We start from the raw sequence: 23,760 nt of genomic DNA, 5'->3' as shown, positions 1-23,760 counted from the left end.
CCAAGTGCCAGCTTTTCCTTTTTTTTTTTTAAGACGGAGTCTCGCTCTGTTGCCCAGGCTGGAGTGCTGTGGCGCAATCTCGGCTCTCTGCAATCTCCTGATCTCAATCAGGAGATTGAGACCATCCTGGCTAACACAGTGAAACCCCGTCTCTACTAAAAAATACAAAAAATTAGCCGCCCCCCGCTCATCGGCCTCCCCACCACTGGCCTCCCAGAGTGCTGGCATTACAGGCGTGAGCCACCGCGCCTGGCCTCCTTTTCCTTTTCCTTTTTTTTTTTTTTTTTTTTTTTTTAAAGATCCTTGTTATCTATTGAAAACAAAAGTACCTTCCTTTGCTTCAGCTGTTTGGGTCCTCTACTCTGTGAATTAGTATTGTACTGCATTGGAGGCTTATATAGAAAGCCTTTCCCCTAGAAACTGGGGGAAGAATTAAATAATGAAAGCCTGGTGTTTTTCTAATAAGTTTTGGTTGGCAGTCTTGCCTATCTGCTGTGCCTCAGCTGCTTATTTGGGACAGGTATGGTTACTTATATATGCCTGGCGTGCTGAAACATCTCTTGAAACTGAGTTCTATACCATTCCTTTGTCTTGGCTTTACTACTTCACTACTACCTACTACTTAATGTTTCTGCCCTCATTGAAATTTGCTCAAGATTCACCACCCAGAGCATTTTAAATTAATCCTTTCTGTTTCATTATTCCTCACTTACACTTAAAATGACAGTATATGGCCAGGTGTAGTGGTTCATCCCTGTACACCTAGCACTTTGGGAGGCTGAGGCGGAAGGATCCCTTGAGCCCAGGAGTTGGAGACCAGCCTGGGCAATATAGCGAGACCCTGTCTCTGCAAAAAAAAATCAAAAATCAGCTGGGCATGGTGGCGCATGCCTGTAGTTCTAGCTACTAGGGAGGCTGAGGTGGGAGCATCACTTGAGCCTGGGAGGTTGAGGCTGCAGTGAGGTGTGATTGCACCACTGCACTTCAGCCTAGATGACAGGGCAAGACCCTATCTCAAAAAAAAAAGACAGCGTACAAACTCGGGGTTGTTTAAAAATGCAGATTTCTACATTTCCCAGGGTAAGTTTCCCAGAGATTCTGACCCATTAGATGAGTGAGGAGTTAGTTGTATTTCTTCAAGATTGCTGTCTCAGCTTCTTTGAAATTCCAGTCTTTGAATTTTTTTTTTTTTTGAGACGAAATCTCTCTTTGTCACCCAGGCTGGAGTGTGGTGGTGTGATCTTGTCTCACTGCAAACTCTGCCTCCCCGGTTCAAGCGATTCTCCTGCCTCAGCCTCCTCAGTAGCTGGGACTACAGGCGCACACCACCACCCCCGGCTAATGTTTGTATTTTTAGTAGAGACGGGGTTTCACCATGTTGGCCAGGATGGTCTCGATCTCTTGACCTCGTGATCCACTCCCCTCAGCCTCCCAAAGTGCTGGGATTACAGACGTGAGTCACTGCACCCTGCCTGAATTTTTTTAAGGTACGTTATAAGACAAAGGAGAGATTGGAATAGTATAGCTCCAAGTAATTACTTAAAGAGTTTTGTATATAAATTTTATGGTGATGGAGGATAGAAAATGTTATGACCTTTTCCCAAGGATTAAATAACTTGAGATCCATTGCCTAGGATAATGGTTATTGCTCTCATATTATTCATTGGAATTTTTTGTAGCCTGAATTGGAAAAAAAATTAAGAAATAAGGAGCATCTGATATAAAGACAATAAATAGTCCTTTGAAGAATAAGATAAACAATATGACGTTCCTTTTCCATTTATGTTTGCATGTTCTTTTCAAAAATAAAATTTCTTAATTTTTAAAGCTCTGTTTGACTTGAATTAATTTAATTTTTAAATAATATGGAATGTAATCAGTTTTAACTGTATACTTTATTTAATTAGAAGGTTTTAGATTAATTTTTTTTTTTTTTTTTTGAGACAGGGTCTTACTCTGTCGCTCAGACTGGAGTACAGTGGCACGATTCCGGCTCACTGCAGCCTCGACCTCCCAGGCTTAAGTGATCCTCCCACCTCAGCCTCCCAAGTAGCTGGGACCACAGGCACACACTACCACCAGCTAATTTTGTTTGTTTGTTTGTTTGTTATAGAGACGGGGTTTTGCCATGTTGCTTAGGCTGGTCTTGAACTCCTGAGCTCAAGTGATCCTCCCACCTCGGCCTCCCAAAGTGCTGGTATTACAGGCGTCAGCCACCTTGCCCTGCTAAAAATTAGCTGTAGCACTTACTTTATAGACAACTCATTGCCAACTAGTCTTTCATTTTGTGTGCTTTTACTACTTTTTATTATAATAATTATATTTTATAATAATAATGTTATAGCATTGTTAATATTTTTATTTTTTATTTTTTATTTTTTGAGATGGAGTCTCACTCTGTTGCCCAGGCTGGAGTGCAGTGGTGCGATATTGGCTCACTGCAACCTCTGCCTCCTGGGTTCAAGTAGTTCTCCTACTTCAGCCTCCTGAGTAGCTGGGATTACAGGCACGCCCCACCACGCCCGGCTAATTTTTTTTTTTTTTTTTTTTCAATAGAGACAGGGTTTCACCATGTTGGTCAGGCTAGCCTCTAACTCCTGACCTTGTGATCTGCCCACCTTGGACTCCTAAAGTGTTGGGATTACAGGCATGAGCCACTGCGCCCAGCTGTTAATATATATTTTTAAGCACTTACTATGAATCAGACATTGTTTGAAATGTCTTTTATCTCATTTACTCTTCTATAATACCCCAATGTTCCTATTACTAGCATGGGTTTACAGATGAGGAAACTGAGGTACAGGGAGGTTATATTATGTAACTTAAGCAAAGTAACCTAGCCAGTAAGTGTCAGGGGCTCAGACTGACTCAGCAGCTTATATAGAAAATTCATTTTAAATCACACTTTGTGTGTGATTTTTAAGGTATGCTTGCAGTAATATTATTTTTGAAATATATGATTGTATTCTTAAAATATGAGAATAGCTTTTATATACCTTGAGAAGATAATTTGTGTTTGTGTATGTACATACATATGCAACATCCACAAATATTTGTGTTTTAAACATGTATGAAGATGTTGACTGAAATCAAATGCTGATTTGTCACCTAATATAAATAAAAAATTTGATAAACATAGTAAGAGCTTTGGAAAAGAAAGACACATAAGAATATTCTGTCAAAATGTTGTTTACTGTAAATAATAGAAGAAGATATCTGTGAGGTCATGAAAAGATAAATGGAAGAAAGGCAAAAAGTAAGAGTTACAAAAGTAGGTCACAGTAAAGACCAGAGGAGGCTGCAAGATCCAAGAAAAATTGATCACTATGGTAATTCTGGAAAGAAACACAGTTTATTAAAAAATTGAATTGGCTTGCCTCTTTTTTATGGAGCACGATACTTGTGTTTGAAATTCACGTTTTCCTGAGTTTATAAGTCCTTATTACTAATTCCTTTTTTTTTTTTCTGGATACGAAGTCTTGTTCTTGTCACCAGGCTGGAGTGCAGTGGCATGATCGTGGCTCACTACAACCTCCGCCTCCTGTGTTCAAGTGATTCTTCTACCTCAGCCTCCTGGGTAGCTGGGATGACAGGTGTGTGCCACCACACCCGGCTAATTTTGTATTTTTTTTGAGATGGCGTCTTGCTCTGTTGCCCAGCCTGGAGTGCAGTGGCACGATCTTGGCTCACCCACCACCATGCCTGTCTCTACTAAAAATACAGAAATTAGGCTGGGTGCTGTGGCTCACGCCTGTAATCCCAGCACTTTTGAAGGCCGAGACGAACGGATCGCCTGAGGTCAGGAGTTCAAGACCAGCCTGACCAATATGGTGAAACCCCGTGTCTATTAAAAATACAAAAATTAGCTGGGTGTGGTGGCAGGTGCCTGTAGTCCCAACTACTTGGGAGGCTGAGACAGGAGAATTGCTTTAACCTGGGAGGCAGAGGTTGCTTGAACCCTGCTGACAGAACAAGACTCTGTCTCAAAAAAAGAAACATGAAAAGAAGAGTACATTTCTTTCTCTGTCCCACAGCTTCTAGGGTCTTTTTTTCTGAAGGATTCAGTGTTAGACATCTCTTGTTTAGCTTCCCAGAGGTAGTCTCTACTTTTGCAGACATACATTTATATAGTTGTTTGTTTGTTTTGAGACGGAGTTTTGCTCTTGTTGCCCAGGCTGGAGTGCAGTGCAATGGTGCGACCTTGGCTCACCGCAACCTCCGGCTCCCAGGTTCAAGTGATTCTCCTGCCTCAGCCTCCTAACTAGCTGGGATTACAGGCGTCCACCATCACGCCCGGCTAATTTTTTTAATTTTTAGTAGAAATGGGGTTTCAGCATGTTGGCCAGGCTGGTCTTGAACTCTTGACCTCAGGTGATCCACCCGCCTCGACCTCCCAAAGTGCTGGGATTACAGGCATGAGCCACCGCACCCGGCCTATATAGTTTATTATTCATACACAAGGTAATATACTGTACTGTTCTGGATCTTGCTTTTATCACTTAGTAATATATTGCAAAGACCTTCCTTCCCCTCCCTCCGTCTCTTTCTTCCTTCCTTCCATCCATCCATCCTTCTTTTCCTTTTTCTCTTTCCTTCCCATCCTTCCTTCCTTTTTTTCTATTTCTTCTTTTTTTCTTACCATTTTTGTTTTTACATAGGTTTCACCATGTTGCCAAGGTTGGTCTCAATCTCCTGGGCTCAAATGATCCTCCTGCCTCAGCTTACCAAAGTGCTGGGATTACAGGCATGAGCCACCATGCCCAGCATGTTTTTTTTTTTTTTTTTGTGAGATGCAGGCTCCCTCTGTCGCCCGGCTGGAGTGCAGTGGTGCCATCTTTGCTCACTGCAACCTCCCCCTCCTGGGTTCAAGCAATTCTCCTGCCCCAGCCTCCCGAGTAGCTGGGATTACCGGCACCTACCACCATGTCCAGCTAATTTTTTTTTTTTTTTTGTATTTTCAGTAGAGATGGGGTTTCACCGTATTGGACAGGCTGGTCTCGAATTCTTGACCTTTGGTGATCCGCCCGCCTCTGCCTCCCAAAGTTCTGGGATTACAGGCATGAGCCACCGTGCCTGGCCTTCTTTTTTTTTTTAAGTCCAACAATTAATGAATACTAATTATGTGTCTATGATTTTTAAAAATGCCTTACATAAATTAATTCTATATATATATAGAGAGAGAGAGGGAGAGAGGCAAACAGAAGGAGAGAGAAAATGCTATCTAATTTTTTTCACATTTGCATGCTGTTCCAATATATTAATATGACATAATTTAATAAGTTGACTATTTCTATACATTTATTTATTTATTTTCCCAGCGCTCCCCTCAAGAAATATTCCAATACCTTTAGTTTTCCAATTGTTTGCTAGTGTAATGACACAGTGACTGTTTACTGGAACACATTACTATGTCAAAGAATATAGGCATTTAAATTTTAACAGATAACGTAAAATTGCCTGTCATAAAGATTGTACTAATTTACATTCATCCTGGAAATGTATGAGAGTATCTGGTTTCCTATGCTTTCAGTGTTGCAGTATGTTATCAAATTTATTGATATTCCTCAAAATAATTTTTCTTAAATTAAAAAAAAATAATTTTTATGTGGCCAGGCGTGGTGGCTCACACCTGTAATCATAGCACTTTGGGAGGCTGAGGTGGGCGGATCAGCCGAGGTCAGACATGGAGAAGCCCTGTCTCTACTAAAAATACAAAAATTAGCCGGGTGTGGTGACAAGCACCTGTAATCCCAGCTACTCGGGAGCTGAGGCAGGAGAATCGCTTGAACCTGGGAGGCATACGTTGCAGTGAGCCAAGATCATGCCACTGCACTCCAGCTTGGATGACAGGAGCTAAACTCCATGTCAAAAAAAAAAAAAAAAAAAAAAAAAAAAAATATATATATATATATATATATATATATATATATATATGTATATACATATATATGAATTTTTACTATCCTAATTTTACAGATGACAAAGTAATTTTAACATTGTATTTAATTTGAATTAGTCTTATCAGTAAAGTTGAAGAACTTTCCATAGGTTTATTGACCACTTATGTTTCCTTTTCTGTGAGCTGTCTATTCAAAGCATTTCTTTTATTTTTTTTCACTTAGATTATTGGTATTTTACTTACTGATCTTTACAGATTTTTAATTTTTTTATTGCTATGGGTACCTAGTAGGCATATATTTATAGGGCACATGTTGATTTTTAAAAACTGTATCTTTTTTTAGTGGTTGCTTCACCTTAAAATAATATTACATTAGTTCAAGTATAGCATCAGAACCTTGCAACAGTATATTTCCACTTATCCCTGCCCTCTCTTTGTCATGCATTTATATCCATATATGTCCTAAGGCTCACAATTCATCGTTATTATTTTTGTATAATGTTCCAATGTATGATATAGAATGTCCCAATATGGTTTTGGAACTGGTATAATTTTTCTCCTACCTAAAGAGCCTCTTTTCACATTTTTTCTACTATAGATCTGCTGGTGATAACATTTCCTTAGCTCTTTTATTTGAAAAATATATTGAATTAATTTTGGAAAAATATTTTCATGAGGTACAGAATCCAAAAATAAAGATACAGAATTCAGAATTCTAGGTTGATAGTTTTGTTTTTTCTCTTGGCACTTCTTTTTTTTTTTTTTGAGATGGAGTCTTGCGCTGTTCCCCAGGATGGCATACAGTGGCCCAATCTTGGCTCACTGCAACCTCCACCTCCTGGGTTCAAGCAGTTCTCCTGCCTCAGCCTCCCAAGTAGCTGGGACTGCAGGCGAGCACCAACATGCCTGGCTAATTTTTTTGTAATTTTAGTAGAGATAGGGTTTCACTGTGTTGGCCAGGCAGGTCTCAAACTCCTAACCTCAAGTAATCTGCCTGCCTCAGCCTCCTAAAGTGTTGGGATTACAGTTGTAAACCACTGTGCCCGGCTACTTTTGGCACTTTTAGTACTATGTTGTACCATTGCCTTCTGGCTTGCATAGTTTTTGACAAAATATCTGCTGAAATTCTTATTTGTGATCCCCAGTACTTAATATGTATTTTTTATTCTGGCTGGTTTTAAAATTTTCTCTTTTTCTCTAGTGTTGAGCAATTTAAAAATGATGTGCCTTAACATGCTTTTTCTTTGTATTTCTTCTGCTTTGAGGTCATTGAGCTTGAATCCATGGGTTTGTAGTTTTCGTTATATTTGGAAGATCTTCAGCATTATTTTTAGAATTTTTTTCCTCTCCCTTCCCCACTTCCATTCGGTTCTTTGGAAATTCCAATTTCAGTACGGGTGTGGTGGCTCATGCCTGTAATCCCAGCACTTTGGGAGGCCGAGGCTGGCGGATCACGAGGTCAGGAGATTGAGACCATTCTGGCTAACATGGTGAAACCCCAGCTCTACTAAAAATGCAAAAAAATTAGCCGGGCATGATGGTGGGTGCCTGTAGTCCCAGCTACTCGGGAGGTTGAGGCAGGAGAATGGCGTGAACCTGGGTGGTGGAGCTTGCAGTGAGCCGATAACGGATATCATGCCACAGCACTCCAGCGTGAGCGACAGAGTGAGACTCCGTCTCAAAAAAAAAAAAAAAGAGAAATTCCAATTTCATGTGTTTTAAACTGTTCATTCACAGGTCCCTGAAGCTCTATTCTTTTTTTTTTTTTTAAGCATTTTTGCTTTCCCTGCTTCCTTTTTTACAGTTTCTGTTGCTATGGCTTTAAGTTCACTTACCTGTTCTTTTGCAATCTCTAATTTTCTGGTAATTTTATCAAGTAGGATAGGGTATAATTTCAGATTCTGTGTAGTTTATATCTAGAAATTGCATTTGGGTCTTTTAAAAAATCTTCAATTTCTCAGCTCATTATATTTCTGTATTCTTGAGTAAGTTCAGAAGATTTTTAAAAATTACAGTTGGGTCCTGGGCACGGTGGTTCATGCCTGTAATCCCAGCACTTTGGGAGGCCAAGGCAGGTGGATCAGCTGAGGTCAGGAGTTTGAGACCAGCCTGGCCAACATGCAGAAACCTCCTCTCTACTAAAAATACAAAAATTAGCTGGCATGTTGGTGGGCGCCTGTAATCCCAGCTACTTGGGAGGCTGAGGCAGGAGAATTGCTTGAACCCAGGAGGCAGAGGTTGCTGTAAGCTGAGATTGTGCCACTGCACTCCAGCCTGGGTGACAGCGTGAGACTCTATCTCAAAAAAAAAAAAAGTATTATTGGGTACAGAGACTCACTGTCACCCAGGCTGGGGTGCAATTGTGAGATCTTAAACCCAAGAGCCTCGAACTCTTGGGTTTAAGGGAACCTCCTGCCTCAGCATCCAGAGTAGCTAGGACTGCAGGTGTGTGCCACCATGCCTGGCTAATTTTTTAAATTTTTTAATTTTATATTTTTAATTTTTTTGTTTGTTTTTTTGAGACTGAGTCTTGCTCTGTTGCCCAGGCTAGAGTGCAGAGGTGTGATATTGGCTCACTGCAACCTCCACCCCCCGGATTCAAGCGATTCTCCTGCCTCAGCCTCCCAAGTACCTGGGATTACAGGCGCTCGCCACCACACCCAGGTAATTTTTGTATTTTTAGTAGAGATGGGGTTTCACCATGTTGGCCAGGCTGGTCTTGAACTCCTGGGCTCATACTATCCTCTCACCCCCGTTTCCCAAAGTGCTGGGATTACAGTACCTTGCCCAGCCAATTTATAAGATGTTTTATAGCAATCTTAAGGTATTTATCTTCTAATTCCATCATCTTTGTCATCTTTGTGTGTTTCTATTATTTCTCCTGATTATAGATCATATTTTCCTAATTCCTTGCTTGGTAATTTTTACAGTTTTGGATTTTGTTGTATTTCTTTACATAGTCTTGGAGTTTGTTCTGGTGTGCAGTTAAATTACTTGTCAGTTTAAATCCTTCTAGGTTTGATAGGATGGTCCAGAATAATCGTAGGTTAAGGCTAATTTAGCTTCACTACTTACATGATAACCTTCTAACCATTCTACCCAATTCCCTCTTCACTGCTTGATGGGAAAGCAATTGCAAGCTTATATGAGCTTTGGGAATTGTTTGGCCTGCTCCTCTCCACAGTGGTTTTTTCTACAGTCTGGTGGATTTCTCCCCATGCATGCACAGATTAGTACTCAGCCAGCAACTTCATGAGTTCCCTCTACATATCTCCAGGGCTCAGTCTCTGAGATTTGTCTCTCCAATACTCTGTCCTGCAAATTACAGCCTCTTTGGCTTCTGAGGATACTAGTCTTTCTCCCCTTAACTCAGGGAAACTGCTGGACTCAGTTTTGATTCTTCCTCCTGTGCTACAGCCTGGAAACTGCCTCTAGCAGCAGGATAATGCAATCACAGGGCTCATTTGTTTCCCTTTTCTCATGGATCTGAGTTTCACAAGAGTGAAACTCCGGCTCAAAAAAAAGGGGGTTTTATTCGAACAACATACAAACACACAACAGAATGCTTCATAAGTCACTTTAAACAATAAAATAGACAATAATAACATACATATTTTTATAAGCATACTCAGGTATACTAATGACAGTTGCACAGGTACAACAGTTATGAGCAGATGAACTGTATTCATAAGGTCATTGGCTGGGTGCGGTGGATTATGCCTGTAATCCCAGCACTTTGGGAAGCTGAGGTGGGTGGATCACCTGAGGTCAGGAGTTCGAGACCAGCCTGGCCAACGTGGTGAAACCCTGTCTCTACTAAAAATACAAACAATTAGCTGGGCGTGGTGGCAGGCGCCTGTAATCCCAACTACTTGGTAGGCTGAGGCGGAGAATCACTTGAACTCGGGAGGCAGCGGTTGCAGTGAGCCAAAATCACAGCATGAGCAACAAGAGCAACACTCCATCTCAAAAAAAAAAAAAAAAAAGGTCGGCTGGGAGCAGTGGCTCATGCCTGTAATCCCAGCACTTTAGGAGGCTGAGGCAGGAGGATCTCTTCAGCTCAGGATACCAGCCTGGGCACCATGGTGAAATTCCATCACTATAAAAAATATAGAAAGTTAGCCAGGCGTGGTGGTGTGTGCCTGTGGTCCCAGCTACTCTGGAGGCTAAGGTGGGGAAAAATCACCTGAGGCTGCAGTGAGCTGTAACCACATCACTATACTCCAGCTTGGGCAACTCAGTGAGACCCTGTCTCAAAAAAAAAAAAATAAATAAAAATAGAAGGAGGTCAAGGCTGGGCATGGTGGCACATGCCTGTAATCCCAGCACTTTGGAAAGCCAAAGCAGGAGGATCACTTGAGGCCAGGAGTTCGAGACCAGCCTGGGCAACAAATCAAGACCCTTTCTCTACACAAAATTTAAACATTAGCCAGGTGTGGTGGTATGTACTTGTAGTCCCAGATACTTGGGAAGCTGAGGTGGGAGGATCACTTGAGCCCAGGAGTTGGAGGCTGCAGCGAACTATAATCATGCCACTGTGTCTTAGCCTGGGAGATAGAACGAGACTCCATTAGTAAAAAATGAAAATTAAAAAAAATAAAGAGTTAAAAAAGTGAAGTACAAACATTTATCACTATGGCTGGTAATTGTGTGCACTCCACTTTATTAACTGTGGTCATCTGAAATACCATGATAGACAATCTGAGCCTTTTGATGAGATCCATCAAAAACCACATGGGCCAGCTACCACATGTGCAGTCACCCAAAGAGTCAAGATCTCAAGAAATTTTATCTTTCACAAATGCAGATGTACATCACTTCGTTTATTAAGTTTCTACATTTTTACCTTGTGAACCAGGGAAGTTGATGGTGTAACTCCCAGTCCAAGGCTGAAAGCCTCAGGATCTGGGTGGTTGCTGGTGTAAGTATGTGCTGGAATCCCAAGGCTGGTGAGCCTGGAGTTCTAACATCCAAGGCAGCAGAAGAAAAGTCTGTCCCATCTCCCAAAGAATCCAGTTAACCTTCTGGATATGTTCTGTCTGGGCCTCCTGCAGATTAGATGGTGCATGCCAACATTGAGGGCAGATCTTTCCCATCTAGTCCACTCTGACTCATACACTAATCTCCTCTGGAAACATGCTCACAGACACACCCAAAATGATGCTTTACCAGATTTCTAGGTATTTCTTAATCCAGTCAAGCTGACACCTAAAATTAAGTCCACAAATTCAAACCTTGTCAACTTCACACCCATATGTATGAACTGTATATAATTTCCATGTAAAGACAATAGCAAGAAAATACTTCACCTAACATGATATGGCTATCCCACATACAACCAAAAATGTGCTAAATTTCTTCCCTAGATTTTGGCTTTCAAATTCCAGGATTTTAATATTTTGGGTTTTTAATTTTCAGGATTTTAGATATTAGAGATTTTAGACTTTAGAGATTTTGATCTTTTGGGATTTCAACATTCAGGATTGTATCTTTTGGGATTATGACTGACACCAGTTCTGACATAGACCGTTTAGGCCACAGAGCCTAAATAGTTGCTATCAGGCTCTTTACAAAAAGCTTTGCCAGTCCCTGACTTAGTGTCAATGGCAGTAGAGAGAAATGGGTGAATTTGATAGATATTAAGAGGTAGAATTGACAAAACATGGTGACTAATTGGATATATCAGTAAGAAGGAAAAAAAGTATTGTTCTGAGGTTTCCTGCTTGGCAAGCTGAGAAGTAGTAGTTTGGTTTATAGAAATAGCAAATAATGAAAGTGGGTCAGATTTGGGGAAAGTGGCAACGGCATGGAGATGACTTCAGTTTTAGGTATTTCGAGTTTGAAGTGTCTATAAGTCATCTGGAGCTGTCCAGGAGATGGTTCTATACATGAAGATCAGGACCAGTTTCTTGTCATCAGCATATAGGTGCAAAATGAGTACACACAGAAGAAGAGAGGGTCTGCTGGGCACAGTGGTGCAGGTCTGTAATCCCAGAACTTTGGGAGGCTGAGAATGGTGGATTGCTTGAGCCCAGGAGCTCGAAACCAGCTTGGGCAACATGGTGAAATGCCATTTTTTTTTTTTTTTTTTTTTTGAGACAGAGTTTTGCTCTTGTTGCCCAGGCTGGAGTACAATGGCACGATCTCGGCTCACTGCAACCTCCACCTCACAGACTCAAGCAATTCTCCTGCCTCAGCCTCCCAAGTAGCTGGGATTATAGTCCCAGCTACTCAGGAGGATCACTTGAGTCCAGGTGGTTGAGGCTGCAGTGAACTGTAACGGTGCCATTGTACTCCAGCCTGGGCAACAGAGCAAGACCCTCCCTCAAAAAAACAAACAAAAAATAAGTAAAAAATACAAAAAAATTAAAAATGTTCTGTTTTCATACGCACATGTCTGCCTCACTCATAGTTTTATTTTTATAAATTCAAGCACACAGTAGAGACTCTCTTTCTGACTTTATTTGCAGCTACTTTTAGAAAAAAGAATCTGACTGGCTCAGCACAGCCAATGGTTTTGCTTCCCTAGTGCCAAGTGTTCATTCCTGATCCAAGTAGCTGTGGTCAAGGGAGCAGGATCACAGGGGATGAGCATGTCTCCAGGGCCACACTGCTGGGTCCAAGTGGGGGAAGTTTTCAGAAGAGAGGGGTGTAGATTGGACAGTATCATAAAATGAATGTAGTACAGAGGGAAGCCAGAAGTGAAAGTAAGAGAGAGGGTGTTTCTAGAAAAGAAAAGTAGTTAACATTGTTATTCTGCTAAGAGAACAAGCAAGATAAGTACTGAAATTTATAGAAGACTTAGAAAATAAATTAAAAAAAGAAAAAGCTAATGTTAATTTTTTATTTCCTTACAATTTGAAAATAGTTGGGACCATATTATATGTGGAGTTTATTCTTTTTATTTAATATTATATGTGATTATTAATTTTATGTATCAGTTTATTTGAGTAAAGGTACTCAGATTTTTTTTTTTTTTTTTTGAGATGGAGTCTTGCTCTGTTGCCCAGGCTGGAGTGCAGTGGTGCGATCTTGGCTCGCTGCAACCTCCGCCTCCCAGGTTCAAGCGATTCTCCTGCCTCAGCCTCCCCAGTAGCTGGGATTACAGGTGCCTACCACCACGCCTAGCTAAGTTTTATATTTTTAGTAGAGATGTGGTTTTGCCATGTTGGCCAGGCTGGTCTGGAACTCCTGACCTCAAGTGATCTGCCCACCTTGGCCTTCCTGGGATTACAGGCCTTGACCACCATGGCCAGCAAAAGTACTCAGCTTTTGATCAAAAATGATCAAAACATCTAGATGTTTTTCTGAAAGTAGTTTTTAGACAAGTTTAACATTTAAATCAGTGGACTTTGAGTAAAGCAGATTATCCTCCATAATGTGAGTAGGTCTTATCCAATTAAATGAAGGCCTTAAGAGAAGACTGACCTCCCCCAAAGAAGAGTGAATTCTGCCAACAGAATGGTTTCAGACTTGAGCTACACATTAACTCTTCCCTGGGTCTTCAGCCTGTCGGCCTGCCCTGCAGATTTTGGACTTGCCAGCCCCTACAACTGCATGACCAATCCTTAAAATAAACTTTTCTTTGTATATGTAGATATACATATCCTATTGGTTCTGTTTCTCTGGAGAACCCTGAGTAATACATTATGTAAAGAATTTTCCCACCAATATAAATCCCTAGAAAACAATCTTAATGGCCAGGTGCAGTGGCTCACGCCTGTAATCCCAGCACTTTGGGAGACCGAGGTGGGCGGATCACCTGAGGTCAGGAGTTCAAGACCAACCTGGCCAACATGTGGAAATCCCGTCTCTACTAAAATTACAAAAAATTAGCTGGGCGTGGTGGTGGACGCCTGTAATCCCAGCTACTTGGGAGGCTGAGGCAGGAGAATCGCTTGAACCCGGGAGGCAGAGGTTGCAGTGAGCCAAGATCGCGCCATTGCACTCCAGCCTGGGCAGCAAGAGTGAAACTCTGTCTCAAAAAAAAAAAAAAAGAAAGAAAACAATCTTAATGAATGAAATTTTAAAAATATTCCTATGAAATAGTTTTTATACTGTAGGGTTATGATTATTATAGGTCTTAGTATCCCCATTTATAGATGAGGAAACTGAGATGTAAAGAGATTATGCGGCTAGCCCTATCCCATGGTCCTACAACTGAAGAAGTAGCTTTTGGGGTGTCTGCCTAGTTTATAACTCTCTAAAAGCTCCCTTACCTATAGGGAAGCTATATTTTCTTTACATGATCTCGTCCCTTAGGATTTGAGAACAGGTACAGAGTCTGGGCTGGTTTTCTCAATGAGGAAGTAAATTCAGAAGCCTTTGTCTGTCATGTGGACTGAAAGGCAGAGAAGCTGGTCTGTAGAAAAAGAAAAATGAAGCGGAAATATAGAAAGAAAAGATGATCCTGTGACTGTTCTGTTTATAGTTGTGGTTTCTTCTCCAAGCTTAGCCTCATTCCACCTTAGGGTTCTGTGAGACGCTGTCTATCCTTTTAATGCATCTCCTTTTTTTCTTCTTAAAATAATCTAAATTGGTTTCTGTTATTTACATGTTTGGAGTTCCAATATAATGCATGAAGTAAATAGTGATAGGTCTATGTAGCTCTATAAACTCATATTTTTAACTACTTCATTATAACCAATAAATTTGGTTTATAATTATTGTATGTTATCAATAATTTTATGACAAACATTTAAAAATATGAATCCTTACCCACATTTCTATGTCCTTAGTATAGAATTCTAGCATTGCTGGGTCAATATATATGAACATTTAGAGCTCTTCTGTGTATTGACAAAATGCTTTCCAGAAAGGTTGTATCAGTTTTCATTACACTAGTAATGTATGAGAACAAGGCATGTCTATCTTTAATGTGCCATTATTGTCATCCGTTTACATGTACACTATTCATTCCTAGAATTGAACAGAAATTCTTTCCTGTGCCTGCCTTCCATATTTAAGTTACTCTGAAAAATTTAAATTGTATTAAAGACAGTTTTTGTAATTGTTTTAATTGCAAGTGATTTTATTGACTTAATTTACTACCTTCAATGAATGTAAATGGAACATGCCAAAATATGCAAAATAATTCTTATTATGTATAATAGTGAGAAAGTATATCACAAAGAAAAAAGCCGTTTGGTAGAATAATTGAGGGAAACGTTTAGATAAATTTTCTTGTGATCAAGGATGTGCAGTGAAAAGATTAGATAGTGGTATGAAATTAAAAACATCTAGGATGTCATGTGATCTGTTTTGGGTTTGGTACATTTTTACATTTTTATGTATTTGAAAATAATGTGAAGGACTTGTAATTTTTACTTTCTACTCTATAAGACCTAAAGATTTAATTTCAGTAAAAACATTCTTATTAGAGGAAATACATAAATGCCACAGATACAGCTCAACATTCTCTATGAAAATGAAAACAGAAGCCAGGAAACCCCTGCCAAATTTAAAATTGTTACCCATTTGTGTAATGATAAAAATATAAAGTAAGAAGCAATGATAAATTGGAAAAGGAATTAGAATAGGTCACTAGAGTATAATACTGAATGTTACTTAGCATCCATAGGTCTGTTCTTTAACTGTAAAGAGAGAGGGATAGAATTAATGGTTTTTTTTTTTTTTTTGAGACAGAGACTCCCTCTTGTTGCCCAGGCTGGAGTGCAATGGCATAGTTTCAGCTCACTGCAACCTCTGCCGCCTGGGTTCAAGCGATTCTCCTGCCTCAGCCTCCCGAGTAGCTGGGATTACAGGCCCCCACCACCACACCCGGCTAATTTTGTGTTTCTAGTAGAGACGGAGTTTCACTATGTTGGCCAAGCTCGTCACGAACTCCTGACCTCAGGTGATCCACCCACCTTGGCCTCCCAAAGTACTGGGATTATAGGTGTGACCCACCACGCCCAGCCAGAATTAGTATCTTTAAGCTCTCTTCTACCTCTAATTAGATGAAATTTTTATTTAGCCTTCATTCTAAGAAAAACTTAAAATATATTTGAGTGATATTCTACTTGATCCTAAGGATAAAAGAAATTAAACAACACACTTTGAACAACTTTATATATGAAGGGCAGCATAGTGTAGTAGTTAAGAGCTCAGACTCAGGAATCAGACTTCCTGTGCTTGAATCACAGATCCATAACCTGATAGCTGGTTGACTTAGGGCAAAAATTTGACCCTGCTGTGCCGCAGTTTCATCTATAAAATGAGGTGAATTAGAATAGCTACGCCATATGGTTGTTCTGATGATTACATGGGTTAATATTTGTAAAAGCTCTTAGAATAGCACCTGGTATGTAGTAAATTGTATGTCAAATAAAAATTACTAACCTCTCAGTAAATAATAAATTCATATTTATTTCTCCTAATGTCTGCCTAGAATTGAATTTTGGCTTAAAAAAGTCTAGCCAAATTAACGGTCAGAAATAAAGGATTGCTGGCTGGGCACAGTGGCTCATGCCTGTAATCCCAGCACTTTGAGAGGCCGAGGCTAGCAGATCATCTGAGGTTAGGAGTTCGAGACAAGCCTGGCCAATATGGCAAAACCCCATCTCTACTAAAAATACAAAAAAAAAAAAAATAGCTGGGCATGGTGGTGGGCACCTGTAATCCCAGCTACTTGGGAGGCTGAGGCAGGAGAATCATTTGAACCCAGGAGGCGGAGGTTGCAGTAAACCGAGATGGGGCATTGCACTCCAGCCTGGGAGACAAGAGGGAAACTCCATCTCAAAAAAAAAAAAAAAAAAAAAAGGATTGCTGCTATAGCCAGTGAGTACCAAGAAAAAAAGAAAGATTGGGTTAGGTAGGAATAGAAAAGAAGTGGAGAGAGTGGAGGACGATACCACAAATATGTATCAGAAACAAGAGAAAGGTCAGTTAGATTGCTGTGACTGAGGAATGGGGGAAGAGATAGTCCCCCTAGTTCTGACTTTTTATAAAATAGAAACTAAGCTCTTACAGAATTGCTAAATTTACTAATGTGGGAAAGACAGAATTTGAGTTTGCCATTGTAATGCGTTTTGCATTTTGAAAATTATTGTACTTAATGAGCCTACCACACTCACTTTTTCCTGAGTGCCGAGGCAGCTATACAACTATTGTCACCACAGACTAGATTTGTTCTCAACCCTGGAGGTTTGAATAGGGATTTAAAAAAAAAATCTGCACAGAATCCACACAAGACACTGGAGAAGTTTTCTGGAGCCTCGAAGCAGATGAGGGTGGATTATCCAAGACATAAAAAAATACTTAATAAGGGCTTGGTGCAGTGGCTCATGCCTGTAATCCCAGCACTTTGGGAGGCCGAGATAGGTGGATCACATGAGGTTGGCAGTTCAAGACCAGCCTGACCAGCAGGAGAATTGCTTGAACCCGGGAGGCGGAGGTTGCGGTGAGCCGAGATCGCGCCATTGCACTCCAGCCTGGGCAACAAGAGAGAAACTCCATCTCAAAAAAAAAAAAAAAAATCAGTAGATAATGAAGAAGTACTAATGACTTGGAAACTGCCTGGACGTCTATATTTATTGGTTTCTGGAGAGGCAATCAGGAATTTCTTCCTCATGATCTGGAATGCTGGGGCCTGCCTGTAGCTCTGACGTGTTACAAGCTATAACATGTAGCCCTACTCTTTCTTCACAGATTCTTTCCTTAATAGGAACTGGAACACAGATCCTGTTTTTTTAACGTAAGATTATATCGACTAGTATGGTAGCAAATAGCACTTCCCTTACTGTGGTTTTTGATATAAAATATATTTTTAATTATAATGTGTATATGGTGAGTTCAGTTGCTAAACTGATTCTTTGTAACTTAAGAGTTCAAAAGAGAAACAGTAATAACACTGACATTAGATGCAAATAGGTCAAAACCGTAGATTGAGAATGTTTTAAATTATATTTTTCTCATTTAATGTGTACATTAAATGATTATATATGGGTCAGTTTTTTTTTTTTTTTTTTTTTGGGACAGAGTCTCACTCTGTCTCCCAGGCTGGAGTGCAGTGGCATGATCTCACTCATTGCAACCTCTGCCTCCATGTTCAAGTGATTCTCCCACCTCAGCCTCCCGAGTAGCTAGGACTACAGGCGCATGCTACCAGGCCCAGCTAATTTTTGTATTTTTAGTAGAGACAAGGTTTCGCCACATTAGCCAGGCTGGTCTCAAACTCCTGACCTGAGGTGATCCACCCATCTCATCCTCCCAAAGTGCTGGGATTCTGTTTCTTAAGTTTACTGAAAAGGATTTTCAGATTGCAATTTATTATGGTGGATTTCACAGTTGCTCTTAGAACTAAGGGTTAACACAGCCCATGTTTGAGGCCAGGAACTGAATGATACTATGGCGTTTGACACATGTTTTCATGAATATAATATGGTAAGGCTGGTGGCTGAAGGCTTATGTTTACTTTGTTCAACAAGTATTAATTGACTGCGCACTATGTGCCAGACACATATTATAGTAATACAGGCAGGAGAGAATTGCTGGTGGCTTACAGCAGGTAATAATGGTAGAGGTAGAAGTGGTCACATTCTGGATATGTTTATTTTTGGTTTATTTTTTTTTAACTTGGGGTAAAACTTACATAAAATTAATAATTTTGAAGTGAATAATTCAGCTCTAGTACATTCACAATGTCGTACAACCGTTGTTTCTATCTAGTTCCAAAACACTTTTATCACCCCAAAAGGGAACCCTCTTCCCATTAAGCATTTGGCTCCCCGTTTCTCTCTCCCCCTGACTTCTGGCAACCATCCATGTTGTGGCTGTATAGGTTTACCTATTTTGGATATTTCATATAAATGAAATTGTATAATATGTGACCTTGGGTGTCTGGCTTCATTCACTTAACATAATGTTTTTTAAGTTCATCCATGTTGTAGCATGCATCAGTACTTCATTCCTTTTGTGTTGACTACTATTCCATTGTTTGTATATACCACAAATAATTTACCCATTCATCTGTTGATGAACACTTGGGCTATGCCCGCCTTTTGGTTATTGTGAATAGTACTGGTATGAACATATGTATAAATGTATTTGAGTACTGGTTTTCATTTCTTTGGGGGATATAGTTAAAATTGGAAATGTGTGGGTCGTATGGTAATTCTGTGTTTAACTTTTTGAGGAACTGCTAAACTGCTTTTCATAGCAGCTGCTTCATTTTACATCCCAACAGCAATGTATAAAGCTTCCAATTTCCCCACATACTCACCAATACTTGTTACTTTCCTGTCTTTTTTCTTTCTGTTAATTATTATAGCTATCCTAGTGGAGTATGAAGTTGTACCTCACTGTGATTTTGATTTTCATTTTTCATTTTCATTTCCCATTTTTTGAGACAGGGTTTCACTTTGTCACCCAGGCTAGAACGCAATGGCATGATCTTGGCTCGTGGGAACCTTTACCTCCCAGGCTCAAGTGATCCACCTACCTCAGCCTCCCAAGTACCTGGGACCACAAGTGCATGTCACCATGCCTGGCTAATTTTTGTATTTTTGTTAGAGATGGGGTTTCGCCTTGTTGCCCAGGCTCATCTCAAACTCCTGGGCTCAAGCAATCTGCCCACCTCGGCCCCCCAAAGTGCTGGGATTACAAGTGTGAGCCACCATGCCAGGCGAGCATATTTTCATGTGCTTTTTGGCCATTTGTATATCTTCTTTGGAGAAATGTCTATTCAGGTCCTTTGCCCATTTTTCAATTGTGTTGTCTTTTTGTTTTTGAGTTGTAAGAGTTCTTTACAAATTCTGCATACTAGATCCTTATTAAATATATCATTTGCAAATACTTTCTCCCATTTAGTAAACTGTCTTTTCACTTTCTTGATAATTTCCTTTGATGTACATGAGTGTTTTGTTTTGTTTTTTTGTTTTTTTTTAAAGACAGAGTCTCGCCCTGTCACCCACGCAGGAGTGCAATGGCACGATCTCGGCTCACTGCAACCCCCACCTCCCGGGTTCAAGCGAGTCTCCCACCTCAGCCTCCCAAGTAGCTGGGACTACAGGCACACATCACCATGCCTGACTAATTTTTTGTATTTTTCATAGAGACAGGGTCTCACCATGTTGGCCAGGCTGGTCTCAAATTCCTGACCTCAAGTGATCTTCCTGCCTAGGCTTCCCAAAGTGCTGAGATTACAGGCCTGAGCCGCCACACCCGGCCAATTTGTAAATTTTGATGAAATTCCAGTTTACCTATGTTTTTCTTTTGTTACACATGCTTTTGGTGTCATAGTTAAGAATCTGTTGCCTAATCCAGAGTCATAAAGATTTATCCCTGTGTTTTCTTTTAAAAATTTTTTTAAAGATTTTCTTTCTTTATTGAGACAGGGTCTTACTGTGTTGTCCAGGCTGGTCTTGAACACCTGGGCTCAAGCGATCCTTCTGCCTTGGCCTCCCAAAGTGCTAGAATTACAGGTGTGAGTCACTACACCCGGCCCCTATGATTTCTTCTAAAAGTTTTTAGCTGCTATATTTAAGTTGTTGACCCATTTTGAGTGTATATATGGTATGAGATAGGAGTCCAACTTCATCATTTTGCATGTAGGTATTCAGACGTCCTAGCACTATTTGTTAAAGAGACTATTCTTTACCTATTTAATGGTCTTGGCATTCTTATTGAAAATCAGTTAACCATACGTATATGGGTTTAGTTTGGGGCCCACGATTCTATTTCACTGGTCTATATGTCTGACCTTATGTCAGTACCACACTGTTTTGAATACTGTAGTAAATTTTGAAATTGGAAAATATGAGTCCTTCCACATTGTTCTTCTTTTTTAGTATTGTTTTGGCTCTTCAGGACCTTTTGCAATTCCATATAAATTTGAGGATCAGCTTTTCAGTATCTGCAAAAATGCAATTAGAACTTTGACAGAAGGGCTGGGCATGGTGGCTTAGGCCTGTAATTCCAGTGCTTTGGGAGGCTAAAATGGGAGGATCACTTGAGCCCAGGAGTTGGAGACCAGCCTGGGCAACATAGCGAGACCCCCATCTCTATAAAACATTAAAAAATTAGCAGGGTATGGTGGTGCACACCTGTAGTCCCAGCTACATGGGAGGCTGCATTGGGAGGATCACATGAGTCCAGGAGTTGGAGGCTATGGTGAACTATGATTGAACCACTGCTAGATTGCACTCCAGCCTGGGTGATAAAGCGAGACCCCACTCCCCACCTGCCGCCAAAAAAAAAAAAAAAAAAAAAAACTTAAATAGGGATTACATTGACTATAGATCATTTTAGATAATAGTGCCATTTTAACATATTAAGTTTTAATGTATTAAGTCTTCTAATCCATAAACATGGGATATCTTTTCATTAATTAGGTCTTTTTTTTTTTTTTTTTTTTTTGAGATGGAGTCTCTCTTGCTCCGTTGCCAGGCTGGAGTGCCGGGGTGCAATCTCAGCTCACTGCAACCTCTGCCTCCCGGGTTCAAGCAATTCTCTTGCTTCAGCCTCCCAAGTAGCTGGGACTACAGGCACGCGCCACCACGCCCAGCTAATTTTTGTATTTTTAGTGGAGACAGGGTTTCACCATGTTGGCCAGGATGGTTTTGATCTCTTGACCTTGTGATCCGCCCACCTCAGCTTCCCAAAGTGCTGGGATTATAGGCATGAACCACTGTGCCTGGCCTTAATTAGGTCTTTAATTTCTTTCAGTAATGTTTTATAGTTTTCAATGGACAAACCTTTCACTTCCTTAGTTAAGTTTATTCCTAGGTATGGGTATTTTATTCTTTAGGATGCTACTGAAAGTGGAATTATTTTTCTTACTTTCATTTTAGGGTTTTTTTTTTATTGCTGGTATGTAGAAACACAGCTGATTTGTGAGTGTTGATCTTACACCCTGCAACTTTGCTGAATTCATTTATTAATTCTAATATGTTTTCTTCATGGATTATTTGGGATTTTCTATCTTTAGGATCACTTCGTCTGTGAATGGGGGTATAGTAGCCCCGCTCATCAGCAGAGGATATGTTCCACGACCCCCATTGGTGCCTGAAACTGTGGATAGTAGTCAACGCTATATATACTGTTTTTTTCCTGTACATATGTATCTATGATAAAGTTTAATTTATAAATTAGGCACAGTAAAAAAAAATATCACTTTATCTGTTATTTCCTTTAGCCATTAAGATCTGTAGTCTTTTTTGTCTGCTTACTGATGAAATTCTTTTTTACTTTGACACTTAGAAGTTCAGAATTCTGTTATTCAATGGGGAGTAAATATGAAAGTCATCATGTAGTCAGAACTGGATCAAGTGTTCCCCAAAATGTTTTCTTTTTAATTTTTTTTTAGACAGAGTCTCACTTCTTCACCCAGGCTGTAGTGCAGTGGCGCAATCTCGGCTCACTGCAACCTCTGCCTCCCAGGTTCAAGCGATTCTCATGCCTCAGCCTCCCAAGTAGCTTGGACTACAGGTGCGTGCCACTACACCTGGCTAATTTTTGTATTTTTAGTAGAGACAAGGTTTCATCCTGTTGGCCAGGCTGGTCTCAAACTCATGATCTCAAGTGATCAGCCTGCCTCGACCTTCCAAAGTGCTGCTGGGATTACAGGCATGAGCCACCATGCTTGGCCCCAAAATATTTTTTTTCCATAAAAAAATCTAGAGAACATATCATAAAGGTGGAGAGTAATGACCAAAAAAAGTCGGTCAATAAAAATGACTTATTTTGTTTTCTTTAGTCACCTCATCCCAGTGAAATCTGAAGGTGCCATGGAGCAGAGAAAAGGAAAGCCTCATAGCTTCTTTAGCCTCTGCATCTGGCTTGATAACATTCCATCTCTCCTTTTTAAACACCTTGGACATCGTAAAATTGAATAAATGTGGGTTAAGTCATACTTGGTTTCATTGCTCCTATTTAAAATCTCTACCCTTCCCCGTCCTACCTTCACCTCTAGCTTCTGAGACTCTATAGGTGATTTTTTCTTCAGTTTGTTGTGTATAAAGAACTCTTATCAGTAATTTTGTACATTTCTACTTCCTTATAGGGTCCAAGTTAGAGAAGGAAGTGCAGAAAGATTTTTTTAAAGTTGACTTTTTTTTTTTTTTTACTTCTTTTGGTTCTTTTTTTTTTTTTTTTGCTGTCAACAGCTTTTTAAAAATTAGACTTTAAAGGTTTTTAAAGACTTTAAAGGTCAAGTCCCTGCTGTAGAGACAGACACCACTGTTATCTCTTACCTAGATTATACCAACAGCCTTCTAACTGGTCTTCCTGTTTTTGCCTTACTCTCTTAAAATTTAATCTCTACATAGCAGCTTTACTCAAAACCCTGCAGTGGCTCCCCATTTGATTCACAATAGAAGCCAGTTTTCTTATGGTGGCCTCCCAGGCTCTACTTGATCTGGCCCCCCATTACCTCCCTAACCTCTTCTACTTGCTCTCTCTGCTATGGCCACAGCTAGCCTCCTTGCCAGTCATACTTGGTGATCAGAAACTTTGCTCACTGATTCGCCTGCCTAGTATATGCTATTCCCACAGATAATCTGCTTGGCAAGTATACTCACCTCACCTCCATTCCGTCTTGCCTCAAATCTCAACTTCTCAATAAAGCCTACACTATCTTCTATTTAATACTGTAACCTGCCCCATTTACACTCTGAAACTCATGACCCTATTTTTATATCTGTTTTAATTAAGTTAGACTTGTTGATACTGTGGCAATGACTTAATCCCAAAATTGCAATGACTTAACACATAACAAAATCTTGTATCTTGGCCAGGAGTGGTGGCTCATGCCTCTCATCTCAGTACTGTGGGAGGCCAAGGCGGGTGAATTGCTTGAGCCCGGGAATTTAAGACCAGTCATGGGCAACATGGCGAGACCCTGTCTCTGCAAAATATTTTTT

General features: G+C 40.2%; 1 protein-coding gene across 1 annotated transcript in view, besides 1 other annotated feature; it reads left to right on the top strand.

Annotated features, from left to right (window-relative positions):
* The window catches only part of SGPP1 (sphingosine-1-phosphate phosphatase 1), a 43,850-nt gene that overhangs the window by 3,154 nt on the left and 16,936 nt on the right, over positions 1-23,760 (top strand). The window lies entirely within an intron of this gene.
* Positions 19,136-19,265: an enhancer, noted in NCBI's record as "active region_8514". NCBI's record gives its function as "activates an Ori minimal core promoter by ATAC-STARR-seq in GM12878 lymphoblastoid cells {active_cell/tissue: GM12878}" and the evidence as "EXISTENCE:reporter gene assay evidence [ECO:0000049][PMID:35858748]".

The sequence above is a fragment of the Homo sapiens genome, chromosome 14 (genome assembly GCF_000001405.40).
Source record: "Homo sapiens chromosome 14, GRCh38.p14 Primary Assembly".
Lineage (NCBI taxonomy): Eukaryota > Metazoa > Chordata > Mammalia > Primates > Hominidae > Homo > Homo sapiens.
Note: the sequence above shows the minus strand (reverse complement) of the source record. Positions and strands in the feature narration are given on the sequence as shown.